The 17,908-nt window shown below is 40.9% G+C and overlaps 1 protein-coding gene and 1 pseudogene across 18 annotated transcripts in view; one reads left to right on the forward strand and one right to left on the reverse strand.

Annotated features, from left to right (window-relative positions):
- Positions 1–17,908, forward strand: part of MAPK14 (mitogen-activated protein kinase 14) — a 96,407-nt gene that overhangs the window by 54,729 nt on the left and 23,770 nt on the right. For 9 of the 18 annotated variants that reach the window (XM_017010299.3, XM_047418233.1, XM_047418235.1 and 6 more), the window contains exon 9: positions 13,451–13,530. In XM_017010299.3, coding sequence (XP_016865788.1) covers positions 13,451–13,530 — 80 coding nt within the window. Of the gene's footprint in view, positions 1–494; positions 7,249–8,406; positions 8,508–13,258; positions 13,331–13,450; positions 13,532–17,651; positions 17,738–17,908 lie in introns of those variants that run through there. The other 9 variants (XM_017010300.3, XM_047418234.1, XM_047418232.1 and 6 more) reach the window with 6 other exon arrangements.
- Positions 9,309–10,025, reverse strand: NUDT5P1 (NUDT5 pseudogene 1; annotated as a pseudogene).

The following is a 17,908-nucleotide window of genomic DNA, read 5'->3' on the forward strand; positions in this document are numbered from 1 at the left end:
CTCAGGAAGCTTTCACTTATGGTGGTAGGGGGAACAGGCATGTCACATGTCAAAGGAGGGAGCAAGAGAGATGCCAGACTCTTTTAAACAACCAGCATTTGCATGAACTGATAGAGCGAGAACTCACTCATTAATGTGGGGAGGGAACCAAGCCATTCATGAGGGATCCAAGACCCTAACACCTTCAATCAGGCCCCACCTCCAACATTGGGGATCACATTTCAACATACTTGGAGGGGACAAAACATCCAAACCCTATCACCTTCTGTTCACAGTTTTCTGAGTATTTTAATCTGAATTTTAAATGCCATTAAAATTTTATTTAGATTACATTGAAACTTAATTACACATGGCTAGTGGTATTGGTTTATGCATTTTTAGATCCCTTCAAGTTATCTTCCTGTTCTACCTTTTTCTTGGGTTTTGTAATTAGTCTCCTTCTTGAAAGATTATTTTGGTACTGGTTGTTAGTAATTCCTGGATTTCCTTTAAAGATATAAGAAATACTGGGGAGGGGACAAGATGGACAACTAGAAATAGCTGCAATCAGAGGCTTCCAACAAGAAGAACGAAAACGGTGAGTGAATCCTGCACCGGCAACTGAGGTATTCACCTTCTCTCAATGGGACTGACTAGGTGGTTGGCATGACCCATGGAGAGTGAGGAAAAGCAGGGTGGAGCGACAGCCCACCTGGGAGCTGCAAAGGGCAAGGGGAGCTCCCACCCCAAGCCAAGGGAGGTGGTGAGTGATTGTTCTACCCTGTCCAGGAAATCATGCTTTTTCCAAGGATCTGTGCAACCTGTGATTCAGGAGATCCCCCTCATGAGCACATGCCACCAGGGCCTTGGGTCCCAAGCACAGAGCTGTGTAGGTTCTTGGTAGCCCTTTGGCTGGAGACTACATAAGACTACTGAGTTCCTTGGGGGAGGGGTTGCTGTCATCACTGCAGCTCCAGTCTGCTGTTTTCCCCTGCTGGTGCTGGAGAGACTGGGCGGTTGGGACCCAGAAGGAATTCCCTACAGTGCAGACCCTACAGTGGTGGTGGCACATCATGGCCAGACTGACTCTTTAGGCTGAACTCTGACTCATCCCCCTACACGGGGCAGGGCCTCTCTGCGGGAATTTCAGCAACTCCAGCCAGGGGTTTACAGACAGAATTCCAATCTCCCTGGGATGGAGCCCCTGGTGGGAGGGGTGGCCACAGTCTCCACAGATCAGCAGAGTTAGTCTTTCCCCTTGCTGGCTCTGAGGAATCCAGGCAGTCTGGATGAGTGAGATTTCCCCCAGTGCAGCACACCCCCTCCACCAAGGGGCAGCCAGAGTGCTTCGTTAGGTGGGCCTGTGCCTCTTGACTGGATGAGACCCCTCCAACAGGGGTCGCCAGACACCTTATGCAAGAGCATTCCCACTGGCATCAGGTTGGTGCCCCTCTGGGACGGAGCTCCCAGAGGAAGGAACAGGCAGCCATCTTTGCTGTTCTGCAGTCTCCACTGGTGACACCTCCAGGTACAGGAGGGACCCAGGCAAAGAGTCTGGAGTGGACCCCCAGCAAACTGCAGCAGCCCTATGGAAGAGGGGCCTGACTGTTAAAAGCAAAACAAATGGAAAGCAACAACAACATCAACAAAAAGGTCCCCACCAAAACCCCTCCAAAGGTTAGCAGCCTCAAAGTTCAAAGCTAGGTAAAGTCATGAAGATGAGAAAGAATCAATGAAAAAACGCTGAAAACTCAAAAAGCCAGAGTGCTTCTTTTCCTCCAAATGATCACAGCACCTCTCTGGCAAGGGCATAGATGTGGGCTGAGGCTGAGATGGATGAATTGACAGAAGTAGACTTCCGAAGGTGGATAATAATGAATTTCACTGAGCTAAAGGAGCATGTTCTAACCCAATGCAAAGAATCTAAGAACCATGATAAAACATTACAGGAGCTGTTAACCAGAATAACCAGTTTAGAAAGGAACATAAATGATGGAGCTGAAAAACACAACATGAGAACTTCATAATGCAACCACAAGTATCAATAGCCAAATAGACCAAGTGGAGGAAAGAATTTCAGAGCTTGAAGACTATCTTGCTGACAAGATAAGAGAAGAATGAAAGGAAATGAACAAAACTTTTGAGAACTATGGGATTATTTAAAAAGACTGAACCTGCGAATGATAGGGGTACCTAAAAGAATTGGGGAGAATGGAAACAAGTTGGAAAACACACTTCAGGATATCAGCCAGGAGAACTTCCCCAACCTAGCAAGACAGGCCAGCATTCAAATCAGGAAATCCCTAGAGAACCCCAGTAAGCTACCCCATGAGAAGATCAACCCCAAGATACATAATCATCAGATTCTCCAAGGTTGAAATGAAGGAAAAAATACTAAGGGCAGCCAGAGAGAAAGGCTAGGTCACCTACAAAGGGAAGCCCATCAGGCTAAGAGTGGACCTCAGCAAAAACCCTACAAGCCAGAAGAGATTCGGGGCCAATATTCAACATTCTTAAAGAATTTCCAACCCAAAGTTTCATATCTGGCCAAACTAAGCTTCATAGTCAAAGAAGAAATAAAATCCTTTTTAGACAAGCAAATGCTGAGGGAATTCGTCACCACCAGGCCTGTCTTGCAAGAGCTCCTGAAGGAAGCACTAAATATGGAAAGGAAAAACTTACTGGCCACTACAGAAACACACTGTTTTCTTTTACCAGTAACACTATGAAGCAGTTACCTCAACAAGTCTGCAAAATAACCAGCTAGCATCATGATGATAGGATCAAATTCACACATAAAAAATATTAACCTTAAATGTAAGTGGGCTAAATGCCCCAATTAAAAAACACAGAACGGCAAGCTGGATAAAGAATCACGACCCATCAGTATGCTGTTGTATTCAAGAGACCCATCTAACATGCAAAGACATACAAAGGCTCAGAATAAAGGGATGGAGGAAAATTTACCAAGCAAATGGAAAGCAGAAAAAAGCAGGGGTTGCAATCCTATTTTCTGACAAAACAGACTTTGAACCAGCAAATATCAAAAAAGACAAGGGCATTACATAGTGGTAAAGGGCTCAATTCAACAAGAAAAGCTAACTATCCTAAATATATATGCACCTAATACAGGAGCACCCAGATTTATAAACCAAGTTCTTAGAGACCTACACAGAGACTTAGACTCCCATACAATAATAGTGTGAGACTTTAATACCCCACTGTCAATATTAGACAGATCATCAAGCAGAAAATTAACAAGGATATTCAGGACTTGAACTCAGCTCTGGACCTGATAGATAGCTACAGAACTCTCTATACAGAAACAACAGAATATACATTCTTCTTAGCAGCACATCGCACTTAGGCTAAAATTGATCACATAATTGGAAGTAAAACACTCCTCAGTAACTGCAAAAGAACTGAAAATATAACACACAGCCTCTCACACCACAGCACAATCAAATTAGAACTAAGATTAAGAAACTCACTCAAAACCACACAATTACGTGGAAATTGGACAACCTGCTCCTGAATGACTCCTGGATAAATAATGAAATTAAGGCGGAAATCAGAAGTTCTTTGAAACCAATGAGAACAAAGAGAACATACCAGAATCTCTGGGACACAGCTAAAGCAGTGTTAAGAGGGAAGTTTATAGCACTAAATGCCCACATCAAAAAGCTAGAAAGATCTCAAATTGACACCCTAACATCACAACTAAAAGAACTAGGGAACCAAGACCAAACAAACCCTAAAGCTAGCAGAGGACAAGAAATAACCAAGATCAGAGTGGAACTGAAGGAGATAGAGACAGGAAAAACCCTTCCAAAAATATCAGTGACTCCCAAGATCTGGTATTTTGAAAAACATAAAATAAAATAAAATAGACTCCTAGCTAGAGTAATGAAGAAAGAAGAATCAAATAGACACAATAAAAATGATAAAGGGGGTATCACCACTGACCCTGCAGAAATATGAACAACTATCAGAGAATACTATAAACACCTCTATGCAAATAAACTAGAAAATCTAGAAGAAATGGATGAATTCCTGGACACATATGACCTCCCAAGACTGAACCAGGAAAACGTTGAATCTACCAATAACAAGTTCTCAAATTGAGGCAGTAATAAATAGCCTACCAAGCAAGAAAAGCCCAGGACCAGACAGATTACAGCCAAATTCTACCAGAGGTACAAAGAAGAGCTGGTACCATTTCTTCTGAAACTATTCCAAACATACAAAAGGAGGGACTCCCCTATAACTCATTTTATGAGGCCAGTATTATCCCAATACCAAAGCCTGCCAGAAATACAACAGAAAAAGAAAACTTAAGGCCAATATCCCTGATGAACATCGATGCAAAAATCCTCAGTAAAATACTGGCAAACCAAATCCAGCAGCATGTCAAAAGCTTATCCATCCACCACGGTCAAGTCAGCTTCATCCCTGGGATGCAAGGCTGTTTTAACATATGCAAATCAATAAACATAATTGATCACATAAACAGAACTAAAGGCAAAAACCACATGATTATCTCAATGGATGCAGAAAAGGCCTTTAATAAAATTCAACATCCCTTCATGTTAAAAACTCTCAGTAAACTAGGTGTTGATGGAACATACCTCAAAATAAGCCATGTAAGACAAACCCACAGCCAGTATCTTACTGAATAGGCAAAAGCTGGAAGTATTCCCCTTCAAAACTGGCACAAGGATGCCCTCTTTCCCTACTCCTATTCAACATAGTATTGGAAATTCTGGCCAGGGCAATCAGGCAAAAGAAAGAAAGAAAGGGTATTCAAATAGGAAGAGAGGAAGTAAAACTCTGTTTGCAGGTGACATGATCCTATATCTAGAAAACCTTGTTGTCTCAGCCCAAAAGCTTCTTAAGCTGATAAGCAACTTCAGCAAAGTCTCGGGATACAAAATCAAAGTGCAAAAATCACAACTATTCCTATACACCAACAGTAGGCAAGCAGAGAGCCAAATCATGAATGAACTCTTATTCACAACTGCTAAAAGAGAATAAAATACCCAGAACTATAGCTATTAATAACAAGGGAAGTGAAGGACCTCTTCAAGGAGAACTACAAACCACTGCTGAAGGAAATCAGAGAGGACACAAACAAATGGAAAAACATTCTGTGCTCATGGATAGGAAGAATCAATATCATGAAAATGGCCATATTGCCCAAAGTAATTTATAAATTTAATGCTATTCCCATTAAACTACTGTTGACATTCTTCACAGAATTAGAAAAAAACTTTAAAATTCATATGGAACCAAAAAAGAGTCCATATAGCCCAAACAATTCTAAGCAAAAAGAACAAACCTGGAGGCATCACACTACCTGACTTCAAACTATACTACGAGGCTACAGTAATCAAAACAGCATGGTACTAGTACAAAAACAGACCAATGGAACAGAATAGAGATCTCAGAAATAAAACTGCACATCTACAACCATCTGATCTTCAACAAACCTGACAAAACGAGCAATGGGGAAAGGATTCCCTATTTAATAAATGGTGCTGGGAGAACTGGCTAGCCATGTGCAGAAAATTGAAACTGGACCCCTTCCTTACACCTTATACAAAAATTAACTCAAGATGGATTAAAGACTTAAATGTAGAACCCAAAACGATAAAAACCCTAGAAGAAAATCTAGGCAATATCATTAAGGACATAGACATGGGCAAAAATTTCATGATGAAAACATCAAAAGCAATGGCAACAAAAGCAGAAACTGACAAATGGGCTTCTGCACAGCAAAAGAAACTATCGTCAGAGTGAACAGACAACCTACAGAATGGGAGACAGTTTTTGCAATCTATCCATCTGACAAAAGTCTAATATCCAGAATCTACAAGGAATTTAAACAAATTTACAAGGAAAAAACCCATTAAAAAGTTGGCAAAGGGCCAGGCACAGTGACTCATGCCTGTAATCCCAGCACTTTGGGAGGCTGAGGCAGGTGGATCACGAGGTCAGGAGATCGAGATCATCCTGACTAATTTGGCGAAACCCCATCTCTACTAAAAATGCAAAAAATTAGCCAGGCATGGTGGTGTGCGCCTGTAGTCCCAGCTACTCAGGAGGCTGGGGCAGGAGAATGACGTGAACCCAGGAGGCGGAGCTGGCAGTGAGCCGAGATCACACCACTGCACTCCAGCCTGGGCGACAGAGCGAGACTCCGTCTCAAAAAAAAAAAAAAAATATTGGCAAAGGACATGAACAAACACTTCTCAAAAGAAGACATTTATACAGCCAACAAACATGAAAAAAAGCTCAGTGTCACTGACCATTAGAGAAATGCAAATGAAAACCACAATGAGATACTGTCTCATGCTAGTCAGAATGGTGATTATTAAAAAGTCAAGAAACAACAGATGCTGGTGAGGCTATGGAGAAATATGAACACTTTTACACCGTTGGTAGGAATGTAAATTAGTTCAACCATTGTGGAAGACTGGTGAAATCCTCAAAGACCTAGAACCAGAAATAACATTTGACCCAGCAATCCCATTACTGGGTATATACCCAAAGGAATATAAATCATTCTGTTACAAAGATACATGCATGTGTATGTTGATTGCAGCAGTATTCAGAATAGCAAAGACATGGAATCAACCCAAATGCCCATCAGTGATGGACTGGATAAAAAAACATGGTACATATACACCATGGAATACTATACACCCATAAAAATGAATGAGATTGTGCCCTTTGCGGGGACACTGATGGAGCTTGAAGCCATTTTCCTCAGAAAGCCAAACACCACATGTTCTCACAAGTGGGAGCTGAACAATGAGAACACATGGACACATGGAGGAGAACAACACACGCTGGGGCCTGTTGGTGGGGTGGGGGTCAGGCGGAGGGAACGCATCAGGATAAATAGCTAAGGCATGCGGGGCTTAACACCTAGGTGATGGATTGATAGGTGGAGCAAACCACGATGGCACATATTTACCTATGTAACAAACCTGCACATCCTGCACTTGTATCTCAGAACTTTAATTTAATTTTAAAAAAATATAAGAAATACTCATTTTTGTCTTAAAGCCAATAATGTGTTATCAGATTAGAAATTATTCTTGTTTGTGACTTTGCAGAACCCTTCCATCTGGCCTAATGATAGCATTATTATTTTTTAAAGAATGAAGCCCTTTCTTAAAAGCCTAGTTGACTAGGGATATCAAGTGGACACAGCTGACAGAACTTTGTACTAGAAAGGAGGGAGGATACAGAATGTCTCTTCAGGTACAGTACTAACTTATTTCAAATACCATAGATCTTGAAATGAATAAGCCACTTTGAAAATTCTGTTACCAACGCTTAACACTCTGCAGCTTAAGGAAGAGAGAAAGTTTTATAGCCCTGTTATGCATCAAATACCGTTTTTCTACCAGAGATCACAGCCTTGGCTTGCTGTTGTTTTCCTTTTCTCCATAATCAAGTGAATTTCCTTATGTGTAAAACCTTCTTTAATTTTAACAGAAATGGTGCTCTTAAGACATAATGGGTTAATGGAGCTGAGTTAAAATCCACTTGCCATCAGTTACTGCCCTGGTCTATGGGAGTTTTCCTAGTGTATTAAATTTGCTTCTTATATATTTTTTTTTATTTCTTCTTTTGCAAACATGTTTTGAAATATTTCAGACATACTGCTAGACAAAGAATAATAAACACCTCTGTTCATACTGTCCTGCTTGTGAGTTAAAACACTGGCAATAGAGCTAAAGCTTCTGGAGACCCTTCTCTCACATCTGCCCATCACTTTCAGTCATTGGTTTCAAATACTCTTTCTTTTTTTTTTTGAGATGGAGTCTCACTCTGTTGCCTAGGCTGGAATGCAGTGGCGCAATCTCGGCTCACTGCAACCTCCACCTCCTGAGGCTGGTCTAGAACTCCAGACCTCAAGTGATCTGCCCGCCTTGGCCTACCAAAATGTTGGGATTACAGGTGTGGCCACTGCACCCTGCCAAATATTCTCCCTCTCTCTCTTTTTTTTTTTTTTTGGAGACAGAGTCTCGCTCTGTCGCCCAGGCTGGAGTGCAATGGCGCAATCTCTGCTCACTGCAACCTCCACCTCCCGTGTTCAAGCGATTCTCCCTGCCTCAGCCTCCCGAGTAGCTGGGATTACAGGTGCACGTCATCACGCCCGGCTAATTTTTGTATTTTTAGTAGAGACAGGATTTTGCCATGTTGGCCAGCCTGGATGTTCTCTCATTTTTAAAAAGCAGTTTCACTTTAGACACCAAAAGCAAGTGTCCAATAAATGCTGAAGAAGAAAAATATTTTATTAGGTTATTTGCCCTTTCCTCTCTAACTTGAAAATACATTTTCTCAGGAAAAGGTAGAATCCTCAGATTTGTCCATAAACCAAGGGTCCCTTAAGAAATTTTCTTTGTGTTACAGTGAAAATGACTATTTTGACAACTTGGAAGATAAGGAGCTAGGCTAAGTCTTATTCTAGTCTATCCTGTCTGTCACCAGGAAGATTTCCTACCTTCCCAAAGGTTAGTGCTCCACTTCACCCCTATGTGGATTTATGTCTTTGAAAATTACTGCTCATGGCAGGTAGGTCCTGCAATTGGTCCTTTTATTTATCTTCAACTTTCTGGCCTGTGGAGGTTTTTTAGGAGTGCCTGGAGCACTTAGAACTGACTAGAATATCCCTCTTTTACTTTCCCTAGAAATATCCTGTTATGCTTAGTTTTTTTGTTTTTTTTTTTCTTTACCTGTTCATTCTGACTGACTTGCTTCTGTTAAAGATGACTTCGTCTAAAGAGTAATCTTAGGCTTAAGTTGTTCTTTTCTTCATTTGTTTTAGAAAGATTCAGGAGATTTATGATTTAAATTTTGACGTTGTGATCATTACAATTAAAACACATTTTAAACTAATAGTAAAAATATTTTCTACCTAAGAGAAACAGGGCTAAACCTATTACAAAGGATGGCTCACTGTGGAAATAACTGATTGTCATGATGTGGTGAGTTTTGCTTTACTCCGCTAATGTGGCTACGTGACGCTCCTTCTGGTCTTAACTGCCTGGACAAATCATAGTGGCCTTATAGTAGCTGGTACTGTTGGAAGACTGGCCTGTATTTCAGTGGATTTGCCAGCTTTTGAAGAACCCATGGTGATTTCTTCTGAGGTTTGCATGTTTTAACTTCCTTCATGCAAATGCTTTTAGTTACTAAGATTTTTATTTTATGTTGTGTGTTTTTCCATGGAGTATGGTCATTCTGTGTTTTGAGGGCAAGGCAGTGGGGTAAAGCTGAGTTGAAAAGCATAATATGGCTCATCTTTTCTTTTCTTTTTTTTTTTTTTTTCATTTTTTGCTGCTTTTATTTTACGAAAAAGCTAATTCAAATCTACATTAAACTAAGTTGAATACAAAGCCTTTGTGAAGAAGGCCTGGTAGTCTCATTTACAAAAATGGCCAGTGTCGTCTTTGGCCTTAAAATTTCAGGACGGGCACTTCAGATGGCTTCACATTTGCATGTTTCAGTGCTAGAGCATGGGAATAGACTTTGGCATCCACTGTAAGATGTTTTTCAGCTACGAGAGCATCGAGTCCCTGCAGCAGGTCATTCTTGGGTAACGAAATGACTTCCACAAATTCTCCATCCCCTGGCTTTGGCTTGGGCCTTACATTTTCTGCGTCATCTCCGTTAATGATTACTGTCACGATGTGTGTGGTACAGTTTGACAAACCTGGGTCCATATAGACCACTGGAGAACATTCAGCAGCGTCCCCTTTGTAGCCAGTTTCTTCCTCAAGCTCCCAAAGAGCAGCTGCTCCTGGGGTTTCACCATCTTCTATGAGTTCCCTGCAGGGAACTCTATGCAGTAGCCACCCATTGGTGGTCAGGACTGTTTCACCAGAACGATACACTCGTAGTGAAGCGTTCTCTGCAGCACAGGGATGACCGCTACATCATCACCAGTCTGTTCTTTCCTGGTTGTATGTTTCACTGAGTCCCAAGTTCCAGTTTTACCAATAGGAGCCATGTATGTTGTTTTTTCAAGTTTGACCCATTTTCCTTCTGAAATTAACTCCTCTGAAATAATATAGTGTTTCCATTCTGAGACAATTCAGTTGGTTCTTGGCTCTCCCTTTTCAAACTAGTCTTTACAGCCCTCAGGAGAGAAGTTCACCTCCAAAGTGTAGGGGTGACAAAGGGAAGAGGACAAAAGAACTACTGGAGGCAGCAGTGTCAGCATACGCCGGTGTCACGACTCAAGACATCGGCACCTCCCGAGGTGATGAAAGGATGTGCCATGGCTCATCTTTTCAAGTCAACTAGTATTTATCAAGCTGCTCTGTGGAAGGTGCTGGGGACAGGATGGTACCTGTCCTTAAAACCAGAATGATCAGACTCAGTGGAAAGAGAGTTACAAGAGTTACTTGAACAACTGTCTCTGATTATAAAATAAGATGGAGTGATAAATACACTAGAATAGAGTTATAGATAAGCTATTGAAAAAAATCCAAGAAGACTTCATGGCAGAGTTCTTGTTTGAATAGGACTTCAAAGTGTAAATAGGAATAGAAAAGGCTTGGAAGGACGGGAGAAGGGGGAGGTATTCTGGTTTATGAGTACATAAATAAGTACTTGGAAGCTTAGAAGTGCCTGGAATATCTGATGTGAGTTGAAGCATTGAGTGCATTAAAGAATAATAATTTGAGCCAGAGTCAAACTAGGCTTGATTCTTCAGGCCTGATATTGTTTCATGCCAGCAGAGGTGGGAGAGAGAGGGTTTCTCAGCTCATTGATGTAATGAGCCACTGTGACTAATGGAAATTGCGTATTCTTCAGGTAGGTTGGGGTGAAGTTCAGGTAGTTGAGAAATTCACAGCTCAGAGAGCCTGTCTTCCTTAGAGAGAGTATAAAAATTGACTCTCAGCCAGGCACGGTGGCTCACGCCTGTAATCCCAGCCCTTTGGGAGGCCGAGGCAGGCGGATCATGAGGACAGGAGATTGAGACCATTCTGGCTAACATGGTGAAACCCCGTCTCTACTAAAAATACAAAAAATTAGCCGGGTGTGGTGGCAGGCGCCTGTAGTCCCAGCTACTCTGGAGGCTGAGGCAGGAGAATGGCGTGAACCTGGGAGGTGGAACTTGCAGTGAGCCGAGATCGCGCCACTGCACCCCAGCCTGGGCGACAGAGCGAGAGACTCCGTCTCAAAAAAAAAAAAAAAAAAAAAAACAACTGACTCTCATTGTTAAGTAGTCAGAAAGAAGTCTCTTAAACAAGAGTACCAATATCAAAAGCTTCATTTTAGAGATTACTTTTGATGCATATATTGTAAAGCCACTTGTTTGAGATTTGAAGTAGTCAAGATTTTTCCCATATATGATTTACTTTATCTTGTGGTGGCTACCCAGTTAAATATATTCCTGAAGAGTGTTAATGTGAGGAAACTAAATTTTTTGAATTGAGTCATTTTAGATGAGCAAGAATTTTTTTTACTGATTTCTATTGTAATATAATTAATCTGATTATTTTAGAGCAAGACAGTATCCATCCCACCCCCATTCCTACTCTGTCCCATGAACATATGCTATAAGATTTTTTACTTGTCAACATCTTGAACTGAGAAGCCAGTATTAAAATCTTAACCTTTATAACACAATGATTTTTGCCATTTGCAGATGACAAAATTCCCTGTTATTCTTAATTTAGAAATAATGTGAGTGGACTTGTTTCTAGTTTGTTTTTGCTTGCTAAAGAACACAAGTTGTTTGGGTTTAGGGTGGGGTTTGGCGCACCTTTTCTGAAAGGGCCAGGTAGTTAATATTTTAGGCTTGGGAACCATATGGTAACTGTGCTTGTTGTAATTGGAAACACCTATAGACTGTACATAAATGAATGGGCATGGCTGTGTTCTAATAAAACTTTATATATAAAACAGGCAGAGCCTGGGGTTTGGTGACTCCAGCCTAGAATTTTCTTCCATTTAAGCTGATTTCATGTCTGAAAGAAAGTAAAAGACAGGATGTCAAATTACTGCATTAAGTTATTCCTATAACGTAGGCACCTGTGGCTTATAGAGACTGTTGTTTTTAAGTGCTGCTATGTTGCCTTTATATGTATAACCATAAGCAAAAATTTCTTTCATCCTGCTCTACCTTTTCCTCAAATATTTTGACTACCTGTCATGTACCAGATGTTAGGCTGGGGATAAATGGTGAAGAGGCAGAGTGGCCCCTGTCCTCGTAGAGCTGTAGACCAGTACAGGGGGCAGACAGTAAGCAAATAAAGTAATTCTAGGCTGTGATAAGCACTATGATGTTATCAAGCATGGTGCTGAGAGAGAATTGGGGGGTGGGGTGTTATGTATATAGAGTGTTGAGGGGAGGCCTCCCTTAGGAGGTGAAGTTGAAGCTGAGACCTGAAGCCAAGAGGATTTAGTCATGTGAAAAACCTGATGGGTCAGAAGACAGTCATCCTCCCCTTCTCCCTCCCTGGAATGTCAGTCAGTATAAACGTGGATAAACTGTTCACATTTTCAGAGGAAATATTAAAAGCTATTTTATAATATTTTTCCCCCTCTTTTTAACTTCCTTTTTAGGTAAGATTAAAAGCAATGAGAACAAACAAATTTTTGTCTTCTGGTTAACACATGCACATACATTCTGAGTATACATTGAAGTGTTAGCTACCAGGATAAAAGTTATGGCATTGTGGCCTATTATTTAGAGCCTTTGGGATGTGTGAAGTTTGTTAAGCATTGTTCATTTGCATTTTATAAGGTTGAAACCGCCTGTATTTGCGTTCTCATGGCGCTCCTAAAGGAACATGCGATGGGAGAGCGCCCTCTGCTGGCGACTCTCCCTCATAGTGCCTGCTATAGCCAGTGTGAGAGGCGAGGCTTCCCTTTCCAGAGGGTGTGCTCCAGTGGTCAGGCTTTGGGGTCTCACAGGCCTTCCACTGTCATATCACAAGCTCTTTAGGTCACGCTTGGGAGAATATTCATAAATAGACTTGTACATCCCTAGCTCCTGTCTTCTGCTGCTTTTTTCCTTATCTGTGGCCCTCTAATTATCAGTGCACTTTGCTGAACTGGTTACTGACACTGTGATGGCAGATGAAGAGGGCAGTGTAAACTGAGTGAAGCTCTTGTGTTTTCACCTGCTGTCTTTGGCAGCTAAGAACCAGCTAAAGTTGCCTCACTTTACTGATACATGCTGTTGACAGATGCATAAAATGAATATAAAGTGGATATGTGTTTGGTAGCATTTTGAATCTTTGTACAGGAGGAGCATGCCCTACGTGAAGTGATCATCCTGCAGGAGCCTTGACCTAGAGGGATTCACCGTGTTGGCTAGGTTTGGGGTGTTTCATTTTTGTTCTCGGTGTGTTCTGTTTGTTTGTTTTTGTTTTGTTTGTCATTGTTTGTTTTTCATTTTTATTTTGTCCCAACATTTTCCTTTATGGTCCACCATTAGATATTGATCAGTTGAAGCTCATTTTAAGACTCGTTGGAACCCCAGGGGCTGAGCTTTTGAAGAAAATCTCCTCAGAGTCTGTGAGTTGATGCTTTGTAATTATCTGCCCTGTTGGGAGCCTCTGCCACTTGCCTTCTACCAATCTGTACTTTGACCTGGGTGTGTTTGTAAGCACACATGCCCTTTGTGTGCTGACTTCCCGGATGAGTGAGGTATAAGACAGTGTGAGTGTGTGTGTGCGTGCACGCATGTGTGCCTGCTTGCATGCACAAGTGTGTTTTATTCTCTATCTGGGTACACACTAAGATCACGGGAGCCTCCATTAGACAATAGTATCCCAGTAAAGCAATGAGATTTGAGATTCTAATTCATTCCAAGAGATTAATGTAAACTTTGTGTCTCTGTCCTCAAGACCTGACTTTCTTCTTTCTCAGAAGTTTCACGTATGCTCTAGAGCTCTTTTCACTGTTTCTAGTGTTTGTTCTCAGAGCATGAGCTTCACCATGTATTTAGTTTAACTTAATCACTAAAAGAATAAAATGTACATTGTCTGCACACTGTTGCCCCTTCCCAGAAGTTATTTTTTATTGTTTTAGAATAGATACTCACATATCCTATGTAAAATGTTTGTTCCCAACAGAGGGACCTTTCTACCCAGTCCCTAGACCCCACTCAGAAGAAACAGCTTCACTCCTGATACCTCAGATACACAGGAATGTGGTTATAAATTTTCCTCCTATTGCCTTGTAATTATAAGTTAGATAACCTGAGACAGAGTTTGGAACTAGTGCTTTCTTGCTTCTAAGCAGGGACTTAGACAGAAGCCATGGGAATGTGAGTCTGGCTTACTTTTGCTATGATTTCCTGCTCTTGGTCATTTTCTTGGGCCAGAGGCATGAGAGAAGCCATGAAAGCCCAGCTTTTCTTTTTCCCTCGATCTGCTGCCAGGCAGTTGAACAAAAGAAAAAAAGAGCTATGGAGCCAAGCTCCAGTTATGCCTTCCTGGATTCTCCTCCCAACATTTATGACTGAAGGGGCCCTTTGCCTAGTTGGGAAGATGGCTGGGTAGCTTGAGGCAAGCATAAGCAGGTGAGTTGGAACCGTTCATCATCTTCCTGACAAAATAAAGAATACCGTCATCTGGTATGTATCCGGTACATTTCTTGAAAGGATCCCAAAGCCCAGTGTATTTCTGAACCTCCACTCTGAATTTGTTTCATTTACTTATTTAAGATAAAGAAGCAAAAGCCCAGAAGGGCAGTGACTTTTCCATGTCATGCACTGAATCACGTGGCAGAGCTGAGTATAGATCCCAGATGTTCTGATAACATGATCCAAACTATAATCCCATGTGATTACACACTATTTTGAAAGTCATTGTCAGTGTTACCACAATGTCAACCTAAAGAGGTATTTTTTTCTCCTTTATGATATGTAGAAGCTGAATTAGAGTGAATCAAAGATATCAGATGATGCTTAGAAAGAGCAGTACTTTTTTTTTAATGTTTTTGCTTAGAAACACTGTCTTACAGTAAGAGGACCTAAGGGCAGAGGGAGGAGCTCAATTAATAAATAGTGCTAATGAGACCAAGCAAATTCATTTCCTTCCTGAGAGTGTCTCCTAGCAGCCCTTTCTTAGTCTTCTCTTCCATCCCAACCATCTGCCCTATAGATACGTGCTATTAGTCATTTGGAATTGGATTAGGAATTCAAACCAAAGTCTAGGTAAAATAGTCAATAGTATTTATCTGTCATTAATCCATCACTTATTTTTAAGAAAGAAACAATGAGTGCACAGCCTAATAATGGAGGTCTCTCTGTGAAATGAGGCACATTATACATTTCAACAGCTCTACTGAAATTGAGTACCAGAATACAGAACTTAACTCAAATAATATTATATTGAGTATAAGAATAAGAAAGGTTTTTTTTTTTGGTTTGTTTCCTACATAATTGGGGTGAGTGGATAAAAGTAGTTTAAACATCCTAAGGGGTAGACAAGATTAATTTGATGTTCGTGACACGGCCCAAGTACCTGTTTATCTTAAAAGCGCATGATGTATGGGAACAGAATGGAAAAATAAGGCCAGGTGAGTAAAATTGTTCAGAGATTTTAAAAATTAAAAAAAGAAAAAAGACATTAGTGAAGGAGTGCAGTAAATAGCCAACAGCTGTTTTCATTCTCCTGAAAAGTAGTGAAGTAGTGATGGCAATAATTATGAAGAAATTGAATGCCGAGTAAGAGAATGCAGTAATGGATTTAGAACCTATTAGAATGAGCCATAGGAAAAGGTATAAATGGGTTGTGATGGAGGCCAAGGACAGAGAATTCATTTGGTTAATGTCCCAGTATCTATAATAATCAGTGAAAGAACAAGAAAATCATATTAAGAAAGCAAAAGCAGACTGGGCACAGTGGCTCACATTTGTCATCACAGCACTTTGGGAGGCTGAGGCAGGAGGATCACTCGAGGCCAGGAGTTTGAGGCTGCAGGGAGTGGTGATCATGCACTGCACTCCAGCCTGGGCAACAGAGCAAGACCTTGTCTTTAAAAATAAATAAACTAATTAATTAAATTAGATAAAAAAGCGAAGACCTGACTCATTCACATTTTCCTCCAGAAATAGAATCTTTCTAACTTCTTGACAGAAAGGGGATATAATAACCTCTTTGACTAAAGGAGACAAAGACAGAAAATGTGCAGGCCAGGTATCATTCACAGAAAGAAAGGGGAAGTGGAGGATTTTTACATTTTAAGACCCAACTGGTATTCTGCTATTGCTGGTTTACTTTGTGGCCCCTTTTTGTTATTTCCCTTGGCATGAAAAGTATCATTTGTTATGTGATTTGTTAAAGGTAACTCTAAATTCTGTTATCTGTACTCCTAACAAAATAAAGAATTCCATCATCTGGTATGGATCTGTTAACGTTTCTTAAAAGGACCGCAAATCAAAGTGTATTTCCTATCCCCTTTTGGAATTTACTGGCCTCTGTCTTTGGGCTTAGGGAGCGTAAAAGGCAGCGTGGAGCACATGGCTCTAGCTCCCTCCCTGTGGCCAGCCTTAAACAGATTACTGCTAAGTCATCTGACCACTAGGGAGTTCAGTTCAGAGGACGAGCTAAAGTAGAAAAATTATTTGGGAAAGCCATGAAGTAAAATTGCTTGGCCATGGTGCTTATTAAAGATGACACTTCACCTGAATGAGGGAATTAGTAGTTAACAAGAACAGGACTAGAAAAGGGGTTTATTGAATTACATTGAATATTTTTAAAATCTCATCACTTCTGCTCTTAGTAGGAACATGATAAACAGTTCTGACATTTTAGAAGAGGGTGAGTTGTATTAACATTGATGGAACAGTTAAAAGAGAGAAGTTGTAGTACAGCTTACATATGTGCCTATACATATAGAAAATCTCATAGTTCTGCCCTTATCAGATGCTTGCAGAGTATTCTGCAGACTTCCCTCCAGCTGTTTGTTAAATGAGGTTAGTCTGTTCGCTAGTTGAAGAGACTTGTGGAGGAAATCATGTGGCATGCTTTAACACTCTCAGCAGCCTGTGACTTCTGTTTTGCCTTTGCCATTAGCCTCTAACCTTCTCCTCTTCTCCTCTTTCTTCATTTACCATTTTGTGTTTGTGGCAAGTATTTTAAATGTACCACTAACTAATGTCTTTGAAATGTGGCATTGCTTATTAACCCAGATGCCCACGTGTGTCTTAATTCGGAGGGATGGTGCCTTGGAGAACCTGTGCCGCAAAAGTTTAGTCTCTTCCTTGAATGGATATGTTGGATATTTTATTTTGTTCAAAGTTGAGTCAAAATTTTTGGAATCATCTATATTTCTCCCACAAACAGGTTTTGGCCATCAGTACTTGAAAACAGTTCTATGGCTGGCATCCTGGATCAAGGGGCAGTCTGTTTCCAGGGAACCTAAAATATTTAACAGTAAAGATGATGCTAAAACCAAAGAAAAGTAATTTTTCTTATCTGCATGGCCAGTCACTGGCTACGTGCCTAGTTACTCATGTCATTCACAGAAGTGTACTGTAGCATGCAGCTGTGGGCTCTCGGGTAGGGGGAATGGAGGGTAGGTTTTTTTGTCTGTTTGGGGGTGGCTTTTTGACCTTTTTAAAAACTTGAGTTGAAAATTATTTTTTGCACTGTATGTTTAACAATGCCCTTGACTAGGCATCTAAGATATTAACCAGCTTCAGCAGATTATGCGTCTGACAGGAACACCCCCCGCTTATCTCATTAACAGGATGCCAAGCCATGAGGTGAGAACAAAGAGACTGTACAGGGATGTCGCACTGAGAAGCCACATTCTCATTTTATTGCCACCGTATAACCAACAGTTCTTAACATCACTGGATGCTTGCATGTGCCTTGAGGCCTGCCTATGTGCTATTGCAAGATGTTGACTTTTGGGATAAAATGTCATCCAGTCCTGTGAG

The sequence above is a fragment of the Homo sapiens genome, chromosome 6, assembly GCF_000001405.40.
Source record: "Homo sapiens chromosome 6, GRCh38.p14 Primary Assembly".
Taxonomy (NCBI): domain Eukaryota; kingdom Metazoa; phylum Chordata; class Mammalia; order Primates; family Hominidae; genus Homo; species Homo sapiens.